General features: G+C 37.1%; 1 protein-coding gene and 1 long non-coding RNA gene across 46 annotated transcripts in view; one reads left to right on the plus strand and one right to left on the minus strand.

The window, feature by feature from the left end:
- Positions 1–16878, plus strand: part of DTNA (dystrobrevin alpha) — a 398533-nt gene that overhangs the window by 140047 nt on the left and 241608 nt on the right. The window lies entirely within an intron of this gene.
- LOC124904281 (uncharacterized) lies at positions 1030–16696 on the minus strand. The gene is made up of 2 exons (XR_007066335.1): positions 13908–16696; positions 1030–12386 (listed from the first exon to the last, which is right to left on the minus strand). It is a non-coding gene; the product is annotated as an uncharacterized LOC124904281 (long non-coding RNA).

Consider the following 16878-nt stretch of genomic DNA (forward strand, 5'->3'; position numbering starts at 1 on the left):
GTAAGAAACTTTAAAAAATTTTTAATAGTATTGCTTGAATAAATGTTAGGTTTAATTATACAATGAAGGGAAATATAAAGATCTATTATAGTAAGAAAGCCATAAGAAAAGAACTGAATAAGGGATGTTACAAGACATGCTAATTTTCAATGAAGTGGAAAAATTGCAAGCAGAGAAACAGAAAAGCAGGCAGGTCGGGATGGCAGAGGGCCAGGTGGTATGCAGAAAACTGAATACACACAGTACTAACAGGTCATACACTCAAAGGGTTCCTCTCACTTTTAAGTATGGTATGTTTTGTGGAACACACACACACTCACACACATGCCACATTTCTACTACCCTGTCTGACCACCTAACATTAATTGCTAAGAATGGGGCCAGCCCAAGGATATCCATGCCTGAAGGACTGTAGAGTAGTGAACAGTCTCCTGAGTTTCCAGCCTAAGGAAAAAGAGTAAATGGGAAAACAGAACATACCTTTCTTAAAACTTCAATCAACTGTTTGGGCATCATCAAAATTGGTTTCTGTGGGCTTAAGTAGGAATAATATCAATTTAATGGATTGAGATAACATGGGAAATCTACAGTACGTTTTGCAGCACATAGTAGATAACCAATAGCTGGTAGTTAATAGTATTACAGGAGAAAACAGATGTGCTTCCTCAAGCCCCCAGCCCAAAAAGGAAAGAAAACATAGTGCATATCTATCTGGTGTATTTTAAGTCACTTTTTGGATTTGAGGTTGAGATTTGGAAGATAAAACCTCTAGAGATGTTTGTCTTTCATTCACTGTGGTTGCATTTTTCATCACGTTTTCTCGAAAGCATTTACTCCTTTGCCCAAAATGCATTTCTGTACGTTAGCTATTCTCAAACTTTTTAGTCTCCAAGGCCTTCAAGCTTGTAAAAATTATTCAAAGGACTTCGTTTGTACAGGTTACATCTGTTGATATTTATCAACTTAGAAATTAAAATTAAGAAATTTAAAATTTTTTTACTTACCTATTAAGTCAAAAATAACAAACCATTTACATATTACCATACTTTATTAAAAATAAACTATAATTTATAAACAAAAATTTAGTAAGAAAGACAGCATGTTTTCACATTTTTGCAAATCTCTTTAACGTCTGGCTTAATAAAGAACTGTTGAATTCTCGTAATTGCTTCTGCATTTGATCTGTTACAATATGTTGTTTTGGTTGAAGTATGTGAAGAAAATCCAGTCTCACACATATATGTAGTCAGAAAAGGCAAGAGCATTTTCATAGCCTTTTCAGAAAATTGTGGATATTCTTTTATATAGCACCTAAACTCAAAAAGTGGTTGTTTCTTTTAAAAAAAATTTAATTAACAAATATAAATTGTATACTATATACAAAATGTTGTTTTGAAATATGTAGACATTGTGGAATGGCTAAATTGAGCTAACATATGCACTACCTCCTTTTTTGTAGTGAAAACACTTAAAATCTATTATCTTAGCAATTTTCGAGAATACAATACATTGTTATTAACTATAGTCACTGCGTTGTGCTGAAAATTTTACTCACCATTATTCTTGCATCATCAGTGCAAATGGTAACACAGTGAATAAATCTGGTAACATGTTAGCATTATGATTTATTCCTCCTAACTGAAATGTATCCTTCAACCAATATCCCCCCACTCCCCACCCTAACCTCTGCTAACCACCATTCTATTCTACATTTCTGTGAATTAAACTTTTTTAGATTCCACATTTGAGATCATGTGGTATTTGTCTCTCTGGGCCTGGCTTATTTCACTTAGTATAATGTCCCTCAGGTTCATCCATGTTGTTGCAAATGACAAGATTTCCTTCTTTTTAAAGGCTGAATAGTATTCTATTGTGTATATATGACACACTTTTAATCCCCTTATCTGTGGATGTGCACTTAGGTTAATTCCCCATCTTAACTGTTTTAAATAATGCTGCAATTAATATGGGAATGCAGATATTTCTTTGACCTACAGATTTCATTTCCTTTGAATAAATACCCACTAGTGGGATTGCTGGATCATATGGCAGTTCTATATTTAATAGGAACCTCCACACTGTTTTTCATAACAGCTGTACTAGCTTACATTGAACATGTGATTGTTTCTTAAAGGTGAGTTGCAGTGTAGAATCTTAAATCATATTAATAAACTTTGCATAATTTATTACATTAAAATCCATTATCTGTCTCATACTTCATATATATCCTTAACTTAGGTATGATTTTATAACATCATGCATTGATCATTTGGAGGATATTGGTTTACAGATCTTACGTAGGCCTTCCAAATATTGACCCATTTTACTTAACGATAACAAAAACACGAATTTTGTTAATATAACCATTGATCTCACCAATCTTTTATCTCAATCAAAAGTCTTTTAGGTACTGGGAAGCTGTCATGCTCATGGAGACAAAGGCAAGTTTTCCAAAATTCTAATTTTTGCTAGAAAGCTCCAATTTTATCACTGGCAACAAATACTGTCATTTGTTTTACTTGAAGTGACAGCTTAATTCTTTTTTTTCAATTAAAAAAAAAAACCTGTGAAATATCCAAGATTGAATAACCATAGTTTGTCTGTCAGTCTTCTTTCACTTAAAATGATGTTCCACAAAAACACATGTAGCCTAGCTCACAATCAGTTGCACAGATGTTTCACGTGTGTGCACACAATATATTCTTCAGTGTGCAGCAAGTCTTTATGTATACTTTCCATTTCATCACACAAAATGTTAAAAAGACATATATTTGAGGGTGATATTTAAGAAAATTAATTTTTTTTGAGACAAAGTCTCACTCTGTCACCCAGGCTGGAGTGCAGCGGCATGATCTCAGCTCACTGCAGCCTCCACCTGCGGGGTTCAAGCAATTCTCCTGCCTCAGCCACCATGCCCAGTTAATTTTTGTATTTTTAGTAGAGACAGGGTTTCACCACATTGATCAGGCTGGTCTCGAACTCCTGACCTCAAGTGATCCTCCTGCCTCGGCCTCCCAAAGTGCTAGGATTACAGGCATAAACTGTAATCCCACAGTGCTGGGCTGAAAATTAGTAATTTTTAATGTTTCATCAAGGACACCCTGAAGTAAAACAAACTTTTAAAAAACCTGTAGTTAAAAATTACTAGTGAAGTCTGAGAGAACTCTCTCAATTCTTGTGGAGGTGCTGAAAGTTTTACTCATCATTGTTCTTGCACCATCAGTGCAAATGGTAACACAGTGAATAAAGCTGGTAACATGTTAGCATTATGATGAAGAGTGTATTGATTTTATGGATACCCTGAAAGAGTCTCAGGGTCTCCCAGGAGCCCATGGATCACCCTTTGAGGAACAGAACCATACAGAATGCTTCTTTCTAAGTTTGCCTTGTTTTGTCTTATTTTAAAGCATCTCCCTTCTGACCTACAGCTTTTAGGTCATTGAGTTACAGAATCCAAAATTGTGACTATGCCGTAAGAATATTCAGAATAAAATTCAGATAATAGGTGTTGGTTAAAATGAATTTAGTAATCTGTTTGCTGACAGTTTTGAAATGCTGTAGGAGATATTGATGCTCAATGGATGCTTAATAGGAGACTCTGTCATTGATTGGAACTTCCAGGGTATTTCTTCTGAAAGGACCCCAGAGAAGAGAGAATAAAATTGTTGGCACCTGCCAGTTGCTTAATACCCTCCAAAAAGGCTGAGTTTCTAAATAAATAAATGCTGTACTTATATAATACCTTGCTTGCGTAATTGCTGATATTTGCTCCCTAATTGTTCCAAGAGAAAGGAAATGGATGGAATTATGTCCTAATGTTGTGCCAAGAGCAAAGAAACTAGGTATATCTTCAGCCCTACATATAATTTGTTTCAGGGCCAGTCTGTTGCTGTCAGTGGCATACTCTGCTATTTACTTTTAGCAACCAGGATTTAATTAAGTGCAGTTCATTGCCCCCTTCACAGTTCTTATCAGATCCTTCAGAAGTGTAAAGCCACTGTTGCTGCCTGAAACATGCTGCCCAAATGGGAAAATTATGGGAAAAATATATCTATTTCTTCCCCAGAACTGGATGGGAAAGTACCCAAAAGGAGAATATATATAAATGAGTGAATTTCTTACATGTGTAAATATGGCAAGTTAGTTAATTAAAGCCTATTCCGTTTGGCTCTCAGATACTATTAGGCTAAAAATTTGCTTAGCTCTTAGTCCCCACTCCACAAAGCACTGTCACCCTCACCACCACAGTCTGGCATCTAGCAGCATTTCCTCTGAGCGTTAGAGTGCAGGACCTGGACCTATTGATTTGGGGCAGAGACAGACACAGTTCTTTCTCAGAGGTACATTTGTATTATCCCAGCTTATGAAACCCCAAAGCAGTTTATTAAATTCTGTAGTGATAAATGTAAGTGTTACAAGGATACTCTCCATAGAAAGGGAAATAGAACCAGGGAGTTTCTTAAGATTCAGTCAGAATAAGGCCAATTAGCTGGGTCACTCAAATATTTGAGAGCACTGAGCTAAGCATATATTTCAATAGCAAAGGTAAATTTGTCATTACAGTCTTTTCCATGTGAACTTGTCATTGTCATTTTTGCCTGGGCATCTCCTCTTCACATTGGAAAGAGTGAGGCTTGTCCATTGTCAGATAGGTCCCAGGCATCTCAGCATTACTTCTTATCGTTGTCTGTCCTTTGATTACTACGTAGCCTCCTTTAGCTAGAAATTAAATGAAGTAATGGATACGGATCACATAATAAAATGCTTGGCATAAGTTAGGAGAGCAAGTATTAATCCCCTTTCTGATGCTTGCCTTTTCTATGCTTCTGATGAACACTTTATTCTCTTAGGTATCCAAATACCCTAAGTGGAATTATTGTTAAGTCTTGTCACTAATGGTTAATATTTACTGAGTGCTCACTGTGCACTAGGCATTACATTTAATAAATTTTTAAAATACATTATTTCCTTTACTCCTCACAGCAATCTGTGACAAGTGCTATAATTATTTCCGTGTTATAGAAGAGGAAACTGAGATACGATATTTAACTAATTTACCTGTCTGGAAAAGGGCAGAGCTGAGATTGGAATCTAGGCAGTCTAACTCCACCAACCATGTTTCTGGTTGGTACCCTACACTGACACTCAAGTGTGACCTGCCTAGGCATCATTCTTTATCTTCCTAAAGGGACTTTGCATACTCTAGCTCACTTCATTATGTGTTGATTTACAGTTTAATTCTCAGAGGACATCTTGGTTCCTATATTTCTATATTCTATATGGGAACATGCTACCATCACCTTAATTCATAAGCATTTCTGATTGCTGAATTCATAAATTAGAAAAATATGATACTCATGCCCACAATGAAAGCAATATTCCACTATTCAGGAAAATAGGTTCGAGTAATTATCCTAGCATACATTCACATTTTACATCAGTATTTATTGATCACTTACTGTTTTCCAGGCATTGTTTTTGTTTGTTTGTTTTGTTTTTTGAAGTGGAGTTTCGCTCTTGCTGCCCAGGCTGGAGTGTAATGGCATCATCTTGGCTCACTGCAACCTTCACCTCCCGGGTTCAAGTGATTCCCCAGCCTCAGCCTCCCGAGTAGCTGGGATTACAGCCATGTGCCACCATGTCCGGCTAATTTTGTATTTTTAGTAGAGATGGGGTTTCTTCCTGTTGGTCAGGCTGGTCTCGAACTCCTGACCTCAGGTGATCCACCTGCCTCGGCCTCCCAGAGTGTTGGGATTATAGGCGTGAGCCACTGCTCCTGGCCCCAGGCATTATTTTAGGTACTACTGATACACCTTAGACCAGAGATTGTCAGCCTCTTCACATTGACATTTCAGGCAAATCATCCTTTGTTGTGGGCAGCTGTCCTGTGCTTTGTGGCATGCTTAGCAGCATCCTTGCCTTCCTCCCACAAGATGCCAAATAGCATCACCCTGTCTCCAGTTGTGACAACCAAAACTGTCCCCAGACATTGCCAAGTGTCCTCTGGAGAGAAACAGCAAAATTGCTCCTGGTTGAGACCCTCTTGCCTGGGCCCTGCTTTCATGAAGCTTCTATATGAATGGACTGAAAAAAGAAGACAAGGATAAATAATAGAATTGCAGGTAATATTGATAGAGCAGGAGGGAGGGGCCTATTTAAGTATGATAGTCAGATACCTCACCTCCAAGCCTTCTTCACACCCCAAAGCACTGCTCAAACTAAACTTCTCTGAATTGATTAAGTGGCATAGTACTGCAAAATCTCCTTCAGCAAAAGGCTTTTATGGGCCTACTTCGATTATAGCTCATGTTCAAGCTATAAACACAGCTCTTCCTGACCTACTCCAGGACTCAGAAGGAAAGAAATACAAGTTAAATTAAACTCAGAATTGGTGGCAGTGTTTTTGTTTGTTTATTTCTTTATTTTCCTTATTCTTATTCTGCTCCCATGGAGTCTTAGTGCTTCTCTCTATTTAGAAATGAAGAGGGACTGCAAGCTCAGCTGCCAGCCTGGCAGATAACAACAGCAGAAGTTGCAACATCACCTTCTGTTCTGTTTTTATTTGGACACATTTCCCTGAGATTTACTGAGATGGGATTAGGATAATAGTTCAGAGATTATTTTCGCCTAGCCCAGTGAATACTTGAAAAACAAACTATCTTTTCAGGTATAAAAGATTGCACTTCAAAAGTTCCAATAAAAGCCTTTGATGCAAATTTCTCCTGATCTAAGTTTCAAACTCTGCCAGAAATGACTGTTAATCTACAGTTGGACAATCAGAGATGATAATGCTTTTTATATTTTCATATGATTATCACCATTTTGTCAGCAGCTTCCTATTTGCACCTTGCAGACCATTTCATTACCTCTCTCAGCAACAGCTATGGGATGGTGTGACTGACTCCCTGCCTGCCTGTCCCTCCTCTGAGTTCTGTCTCCTTTTCCTCAACACTCTCAGGCTGAAAGACAGGCATCCATAGATTAACAATTCTCCCTCATTGGTCTGTAGACAATTGTCCTTCTGGCTTTACTCTGTATTGATGCTCCAGGTCCAATAGCTGACCCTTGTTGTCCTTCCTACCCTCTTTCTCTATTCTTATAGGAACTGCATTGTCAGCAAAAATACCTAATGCCCATGGCAAGGACCTCCAGTGCCAATCACAGACATTCATTCGTTCACTTATTTGTTCATTCATCCTATAGACATTTATGGAATGCAACTGTAATTCAGACCACATGCTAGGTACAGATACCCCTTGATAGTCCTACCAATCTTTCTAGGCCTCTTGCTATTGGGTGCTATGCTTTAACCAACTGCCTAGAATGTCTCCCATGATTTGAACCTAAGCCCAGCTAAATTGTTTGCTTCATCTTTAAAAACCAATTTGAAGTTTATATTCCTTCCAGCCTTGATCTAGCCTACCCCAGAACTGGCTAGTTCCCTATTTTCATGTTAAAGTTTAAAAGTTTATTCTAAAAGCAAAGGTTTGTTTTTTTCTTATGGCCTTCTAGCTGCTTTTCATTGCATAGAAAGGACTAATTGGCAGTGGCGGATGTTGTTGTTGGGTTGGTTTGTTGTTGTTTGCTTTTTTGGGAGGGGAAGGCATTTGAATTTTACCAGGTATCATCAATTTACATATCTATAAACTTGGGGTAAAGACTTTATTATTAATCAAATAACGGATGTGCTATTTTATAATAAATGTTGCTACTAGTAAAAATAAATATTAAAATAAAAATCTATCTAGAATATTTCTAGAACAGAGTAGATAATATATGAATATAAGGGTAAGACAGATAATAATCTTAACTATCTATTGAATCATAGAATCTCAAAGATCTACAAGAACTTATTAGTGACTTACCAAATCCCATGCCTAAAAATAATTATAACTATTAATAATGTGATAACTAGCATTTAATGAATAATGTCTATGTACTGTGTTATCAGTGAAGCATATGATTGATTTAGTTTAATACTGGAAATTTCTCCTCTCCAGCACTGGGAACTGGCCACTGATCACAGCAGCCCCAGATGTTTCACAGCAACTCTGAATATTACAGACTTATTCCGTTTACCCAGGCTAAACCTTCCCCCTCTGGAACCTGGCCGATCAGGCCTAGTCTCTCTTCCTATGACAGCCCCTTAAATATTTGACAACAATCATACTTTTCTTGAATCTTCTTTTATCCAGGTGGAACAATATCAATAATTCATTTAATCAATCTATCCACTTATAGTATGAGATTCTTTTCTGGAGGAGTTCCTCCAATCCCTGGATTCAACCTATCCCTCCTATTGAATATCATTGCGTCTCAAATTGAGGCCCAGATAACCAAACATTGTGTTTCAGGCATAAACAGAGCTGGGGAATTCTCCATTTGGTTCTTTATTTTATTTTAATGTAAATAAGTTGATATAAGGACTTCAGCTTGGAGTTGAGTGGTGGAGAGAGATAGAGAGCAAGGATAGAAAGCATTGTTTGCCAGAGAGCTGAGTTTCATAAATTAAGTTACATGCGTGCTGACTTTCATGTATGCCAAGAGTTTAAAAGTAATCCCTGAAAAACAGTCACATAGAACAGTTATGGCACAGCATAACCCACCAAATAGGCATTAATATCCTTCCCAGCACCATTATTATATAAGGATTGTACTATATTCAGAACTTGTTTAACTACTTTATAGCTGCCTTTCAATTAATATACATTGATTATTCACTGGATATGAGGTACTGCTACAGTAGGCAGAAGCTTGCTAATGAGGACTCACCACATTCTTCCCAAAGCAGCAGAGAGTCTGTGAGAAGCCACTGAGGCATTCTGGGAACCCTCTAGGGCATCCTAGAGCCAAATTGAATGTGGCATCAGGATGACAAGAATTAAGGCACTTGGGAGCTGCACTGGGGTCCCCCCTTAAAGGTTGCCCAACTGGAAGCTGGGTGTCTCTGAGAAACTCCCACCCTTCATGTTGGGATTATCTGGGCTTTAGAAGGAGCCCACTGATTTGAGGAAGAGTACTTTTCTTTACTACTTAAGGCTCTTGAATGCCATCTTACTACCCAATCTTACTACCTTGGTAGAGGAGAACAACTTTCACATTCCACTTTACTTCAGGCTGGGTTGCTTTCCTTCCTTCCTTCCTTCCTTTCTTTCTTTCCTTCTTTCCTTCTTTCTTTCCTTCCTTCCTTCTTTCTTTCTTTCTTTTCTTTCTTTTCTTTCAACGGAGTCTCGCTCTGTTGCCAGGCTGGAATGCAGTGGCGCGATCTCGGCTCACTGCGACCTCCGACTCCCTGGTTCAAGCAACTCTTCTGCCTTAGCCTCCCGAGTAGCTGGGATTATGGTCACGCACCACCACGCCCAGCTAATTTTTGTATTTTTAGTAGAGATGGGTTTTCACCATGTTGGCTAGGGGGGTCTCGATCTCTTGACCTCATGATCTGTCCACCTCGACCTCCCAAAGTGCTGGGATTACAGGCGTGAGCCACCGCACCTGGCCCAGACTGGCTTTCTCAGGGAATCATGCTGCCTTGGCTCCAGTGTGAAATCTCTCTGCTTACAGAAATTCAGACCCTCCCAGAAATGTCACAGCAGCACTGCCCTGTCCCAAACTAACACTACCTGGAATTCATGTGAGTAACTAGCATGCCATAACTTAGCAGCAGGCTACTGCAAACATCTCTGAGTATTAGGTATAACTGGAAACAAACAAAAAAAAGGAATTTGACGACTATTTCTGGTAACATTCTGGAGACATGGCCAGTCTTTAGTGGGTACAGTGACTTTGTACCTAAGAGTGGCAAGATGTGTCATGGCTCTTGGTTCCTCAGGGCCTCTCCTGTGTTAACCATTGCTGCTTTTAATTATAATTAGAGCCCATGGGTTCTTAGCCATGGTGGTAAAGCACATACCCAAATATTTTGAAATCTTAATAAAAGAAGAATGCATGATGTTAGTTTAACTTTCAAAATTAACACTCATTAAAAAGTATGTGATTTGCATTAGCACATTCTTATTTTGTGATAAGAGTCTACAAGAATCACTCTTAAATTATGGCAGCAGCCTATCCCCAGTTCCTGGGCTTAAACACAATATGACAAAAGAATCATAAGCAATGTGTTAATTAGCCTGTTTCTGATTTTACCTTCAATTCCACATATTTCATGATTTTCAGGAAATCTGTTTATTCTTTATTATTCTCTGCAGGTGTTTTGAGAATATATTCATTGGGTAAACCAGAAATGTTGGCAACAAAATCCCAAGATCCAGTTTCCTTGTCTAGGCTCTTGGTCAGAAGCATCTGACCAGTATCCCAATTTTAACCTTAAACATATTTCAGATTATATGATAGAAACTGCCTTTTTTAAAAGCTGAGATTATGTTTTCTGCTCCACATTTTGAGGGTAGATGCCAACATGAAATCTTAATAAAATTATCATTATGTAATTCACAGCAATCAGATTGTATATTCCTTAATTACATGATTTGTTAAATATCCATACATTATTAAGCATCATCTTTTATACCTATAAAATTATAAGCTCCTGCTATATAATATAATCTAGATCTACCCGGCTAGAACAAAACTGTATAATTCATCAAAAATTACATTTTTCTTCAGCTGTATATTATGTTGTTCTCTCTAAATTATCTATCACTCTTATCATGGCCAATGTAATTGTGAGGGATAATAGAAAATGGGAATAACATTGATATTTTAAATAAAAAAAATAAGCTAAATCTCTTTTGAGTAAGTAGTTTCAAGCTTCCCTCACCAGATCGTGGCCCACTTATATCCTTTTATTGTCCTATTCACCCTCTAGTGGAATTCTTAGTAAGTAGTGGAAGTACATATAGAGAGAGTGAAACTGCAGAAATAAAGGAGATAGCCAAAAAGCCACAAAACTGAATAATTCATGGAACATGTAGGAGTCGACTGTATTATCATCAAGAGGATGTTTTTGTGAATGTTAATTATTTATGACTACTTGTAATGTTTATGTTTATTAGTTGAGGTACATAGAGAATAAAATTGCATAGCAGCTAGTAAAATAACTTTTAAAAGATTCCAGTTTAAACACACTCATTAGTTTAAAAGGCTTTCTGGGATTACAGACATTAAAACATTTAAATCTTACTAGGGAGTCAAAAGGCTCTCCAAGGATTTGTAGTCACTTAAACATCTCTATTTTTGAGTTACAAGTTTGGGTTAGTCACTGTTGATTTGTATATTTTTAATCATCAAGAATATCTGAGAAATATACAATTTGGCACCTCACTTTATAATCTGAAAAGAACAGCACTGAGGCTTAAAAAATTTTTTGAGCAAAAGAAGAACATATTTTTTAGTTCATTTCAACCAGTCTTTTTCCTTCAGCCTAATATGGATATAAAATGTAACTGGCATTAGCGTTTCCTAGTATTGCTGCAGCCTGCCAGAATGTTGAGACCTTTGCACAATGAATCCATTATTACAATAAATATGAAAAGACGACATAATATTCTAAACAGCTCATCACATTCTTTCTAATGTTCCCTGTACTGAAGAAAATATTTTAATGTATACTAAGTATTTGAATTTATTTTCAAAATAGTGAATTCATGCTTTCAATTGTTGCCCTTTAGGAGTCCTTAGTGCACATTTGTAAGGTAACGACAAACTGAATCTTTAATAATGATCGTAATGATCACTTTAACACTGGAAGAAAACTCAATGTTTTCCTAAGTTTCTCAAGGTCATTTTTTCACTCCATAGCTTTTCAACATAATGTAGTTGTTGTCATCTTAGGAATAAGGATTTTCACAAAGTCAGGCTCCAGCCTGTCTATTCTGATTCTGGAAAACCTTTGGCAATTTTCATGCTAGGTGGAGGACTTTGTTAAATAAATAGTGTGATTTTAAAGGTGCTCATTATCCTCAATATTAAACACTTATAGTGAAACCTGCATATACCCACTAGGGCAGTGTTACTTATTATTAATAAGATTTTTGTATGGGTTTTTGAGCCTGTTCATGAAGTTGGCAAAAGCTGAGAATGTTATTCGTCCCACCTTGTAATGTGGGCAGGTAATGGAGAATTACTATTGACTAAGGGAAGAGGAAAATTTAGGCTTTGTTGAAGGAATATTAACTTTAGTAGTATTCCTTTCCATTCTAGATATCTCGATTCATAGAAAAACCTACAGATATGTATAAATCCATATAGAAGATAGAGAATAAATCTCAAGAAGGGCTCTGGTAATACAGATGGTGTGTATACACTACACTCACAGGTGGATGAAATGGAGAGGGGTTCCTTGATCAGAATTTTGAACAAGCACACCCTATGAATATTATTGAAGTAAATAGGGAGTCTCTTCAGTTTCCTGCAACGTCTTTTCTAGAACTCTGTAAGAGAAGAAAAAAAGTAAGTCAGATGCTTTCTCAGCTGTATTGACTTTAGAAGCTGGCTTACATATTTTCCACTCTTTAACTCGTTTTCTAGTTTTTTAACCATTTTTTGAAAAAATTGGGTCTTGCTTATTAATATTTTCCTCTTGGTACATCTCCATCACCTATTCTCCTAATCTAATCTAGAAATCAAGAAACAGAGGTAAAGACATACATCCTGGTCCCCTCCTATTTATCCTTCTAACTGCATGGGATGTGATCATCTGAACTGCACTGACTGCATATGTACTCTCTTAGCTGGTATTCTTTTTATGGTTCAGTATTTTAAGAAATGTCTGATTGTGCTTCCTGCCTTTTCAGTAAGCTATACCCTTTAAATCAATATTTTAAAAGGTCATCTTGACAGTTACTTCAGAATAAACAAATGACAATACAACATCTCTCATTAGATGATGAAAATCACAGTGAAAAACTGGACACATTACTTAAATTCCTGTCTTTTGTTTATAATAAACTAAAAAAAAATTCATGTTAAGAAATGGCAATAAACTTATTTTCTAGATGTAAGCATTTTAACTTGGTAGTTTTAAAATTAGGACGATACAGCTCATACAAACAATAAGAAACCATATCTGTTATATTTTACATTTTATTGTGAAAAAGGGCATATTTTACATCCAGTGCTGATTATATTTAATGTCTAAAAGTCATTTTGAGCTATTAAGTAAATGATGTGAATTTACCAGAGTAATAATCACCACTTTTAACTTTACTTGATTTGCCACAAGTCAATGCCTCATATAAACTGTACATTACAGATTATTTTAGAAGCAATATGACATCGGAAGTACCAAATACAGTGCTACAAATTTTTTAAAGCACAGACCACGTATTCAAATGATTTATTCTTCTTTACAAATCTCCATCTGAAGCTACTAGTTTTATTATTCTTATTACTTTATTTATTTATTTATTTTTTGAGATGGAGTCTTGCCCTGTCACCAGACTGGAGTGCAGTGGCGCGATCTTGGCTCACTGCGACCCTGCAACCTCCGCCTCCCGGATTCAAGCAATTCTCCTGCCTCAGCCTCCTGAGTCACTGGGATTACAGGCATGCGCCACCATGCCCAGCTAATTTTTGTATTTTTCGTAGAGACGGGGTTTCTCCATGTTGGCTAAGATGGTCTCGATCTCTTGACCTCGTGATCCACCCACCTCGGCCTCCCAAAGTGCTGGGATTACAGGTGTGAGCCACCGCGCCTGGCCAGTTTTGTTATTCTTAAGAGGCTCACAGCCTTCTGAGAGGAAGTGAGATAGACCCATGTTTTCATTTGAGTGAATGTGAGTACCAGGGTACCTGTCCAATGGTTCCTCTTTAGGAAGCACTCTCAGGATTCAAAATGAGAATAACACACGGGTAGCCACTTTGGCTAAGATCCTTAAATTTTTACATTATTAGAAAAGCCACATGTATAATAAATTAGGTGATATGACAAATCCTGAAATGTCTCCACCTACCAGTCCAGGATGGGTGGTCCTGATCAGCAGGTGGCTTTCCTCTATGTGATGATTCACAGAACCAGGCCCATTTCATCTCAAAGCTCAGCCAACCTCTTGGACCACAGAATTCCTCAGATTCTAGCCACCAGTAGGGGGAAAAATGGCATAGAAAAAGGGCAGCTTTACAGGAGCAGGCGCCTAGAAGTACCTCGTATCACCTTTGTTCACAGCCCATTGGCTACAACTTAACCACATGACTTCACTGCAAAGGAGTCTGGGAAATGTAGTAGAGCTGCGTGCCAGGAAGAGGAGAACAGTCAGTGGTCTTTGCCACACCTACCGTTCCATATGTTCCTAAAAATGAGGAAGGCACTCAGCTATTTTGGACTGGCTTCTAGGGCTACCTCTGTCACTAAGGAATTATGAAAAATTTAGCAAGTTCTGACCTCTGCCTTTTGTATGATTTGGTCTCATAAAGCTGACAGTCTTAAAGAAAAGACATTAAGTCAACACACAAATAAATATATCATTACAATTTTCAGCTAATATAGGCTCTAAAAGAGCTTGGAACATGCCTCTCTGGCACTTACAACAGTGCTTAGTGCACAGTAGGTGCTCAGCAATAGTTGTTGAATTAATGCATGCCTACCTCCATGGATGAATGAATGAAAATATATGAGGGGGAAAAATAGTTGCTGTAAAAGAAAGCAGTAGGGGAATCTAAATTAGTTTGGCAATCAGGGAAGGTCTTTCTGAGGAAATAATATTGACATTAAAACATAAAGGCTGACTAGGAGTTAGCAAAAAGAAGAGTTGTGTGGTGGACAACATTTTTCAGGAAGAGGGAACAGCATATTAAAGCATCTGAGTTGGGAAGAGATTAATACATTTGAGGAGCTGGAAAACGGCCAGAGTTATAAGACCCCAGAGGGTCTGAGTGGTAATGGCAGAAGTGAGGCTAAAAAAATAGGCAAGGGCTGTATCAGGCAAGGTTTATAACGTATGTCTAGCCTTTTGGTCTTTCCACAGTCACGATGAAAAGTATAAGGAAGGAAAGGGGGTGATGTGATTATATTTTCATTTTAAAAGATCATGCTGGCTTTCTGTGAAGAGTAGGTTGAGGTGGGGTAAGAGTAGAAGCAGTAAGTTTGACTAGTTGGGAGACTATTGGAAATCATCCAAATAGGATACCTAAATCAGTGCAGTGGTTTAAAACAAGGTGGAAGCACAGCAGATAGACGGATTTGAAATACATTTTGTAGATAAAGGGAAATTGGAGTAGATGGGTAAATACAGCAATAAAGTCCTCTGGCTCTGTTTGTCATTATTCTCTTTAGAGATGCCATTAAAATGACTGCTGCCACTAAAAGTAGACCTTTCAAGACAGTTAGTGTTGCTTTATTCAGATTCTTTTAGAAGCTTTGTTCCGACTCTCAAGATTTTTCAAAAATCAGTCAAATAGCAAGCATTTAAACTTAGGCTAGATTACTGGGATTCTTCAAAACTTGTTCCAAGTTATATTGTATTTCTGTTTCCCTTTGTCTTCAAGAAATAGATTAGGTAAGTTGCATAATCACAGTGAAGAATTTTGTATGTGTGCATGTGTATGTGCAAATGTATTTTTAAGTGCCCACACACATTAACTTTAAAATATTTTTGTTAAAAGGTAAATTTTGGACAATCTTTAATATTTTTCTAATGTGGTACTGTTGGTTCTCATTTTTCAATTTAATGTTTTAGGAAGTAATTCAAATATTCTAATAGTGTTAATTGAAGCCAGTGTTCTGCTCTTTCGGAGACCATTCTAATGATTCAGGTGTTTATTAGAATGTTTTTTTGGAGATAAGAACACTGTGTACAGAAGGCTGGAAATTTGATGTTTTTGCATTCCATTCTGCTCTCCTCTCTCTCCCCATTCATTCTTGGGTTACAAACTTATCTCTGTCTGTATTTATCATCTTGAAATGGACATTATAGTGATTTCCCAGAGGTATTGAGAGAGCTATTTCAATGTTTATAAGTCAGCTTTTAAGATGACGTGCACAAAAGAAGATTATGATCTTGGGATTGATATATCTGCAAAACGGCTGCTATTGCACAAGTAAGAATGCTGTGAGGGACTGGTGAATTTCCTGTGGGGACGTTATACCCACGATCAGTGAAATACTTCTGGTAGGTTCCCTCCCTCAACCTAAAGATAGAGCCTCATTTCTGTGACTCTTCTGGCAATAGCATTTACATGTGTTAAATGTTATTGCAATTTTAAATAATTTATTTGAATAATTTTCATCCAAAAGGCACTATTTTGAGCTACAAGTTGTTGGATTAAATTAAATGCTTATTTGCATTCTGGAGAAAAAAATTGAGGGAATTATGATTTCTACAGAAAAAACTTTTGGTTGTTTCTGCCAAACACATTAATGTTTATAACCTCATTTTTTCATTTCATGTCTATTGGGATATCCTTCACTTTCTTTTTGATATCTACTCCAGATTAACTTTTACCTACATTCTGTTTTAAGATTTTTTCAAAGATCTTTTAAAATTATTTCTTTATTTTCCATTGCTTTTTCCTGTCACATAGCCACCTCACTTCAAGATTATGCTATACGTGATCCAAAGCATAGGAAATTGAGGGAAACTTGTAAATTCACTTTGTTGCTCTGACTTCAGTTTGTATGTGGTTGTAGGATAATAATATAAAAATGACATGTGTTTGCCTTCAAATTCCAAGCTGTGAATTGTAATTCCTGGCAGGTATTTCACTTATTCCAAAAGTGGTAGTTCACAACCTAGCAAAAGAAAAAAAAAAACTGAAGTCTTGGATAAAGTCCTTTGCACAGGAGAACTTGAGAGTCAAAAGACTTAAATTTGTTTCAAGTTTCTCCGTTGCACGGATCAGCCAAGCAGATCTCTGATTACACTGCTTTCTGGCACCTGGCACCTGAAAATCTTCACTTCCTGAAAGCCAAGTGTTTGAAGACAAAAC

This window comes from Homo sapiens, chromosome 18, assembly GCF_000001405.40.
Source record: "Homo sapiens chromosome 18, GRCh38.p14 Primary Assembly".
NCBI lineage: Eukaryota > Metazoa > Chordata > Mammalia > Primates > Hominidae > Homo > Homo sapiens.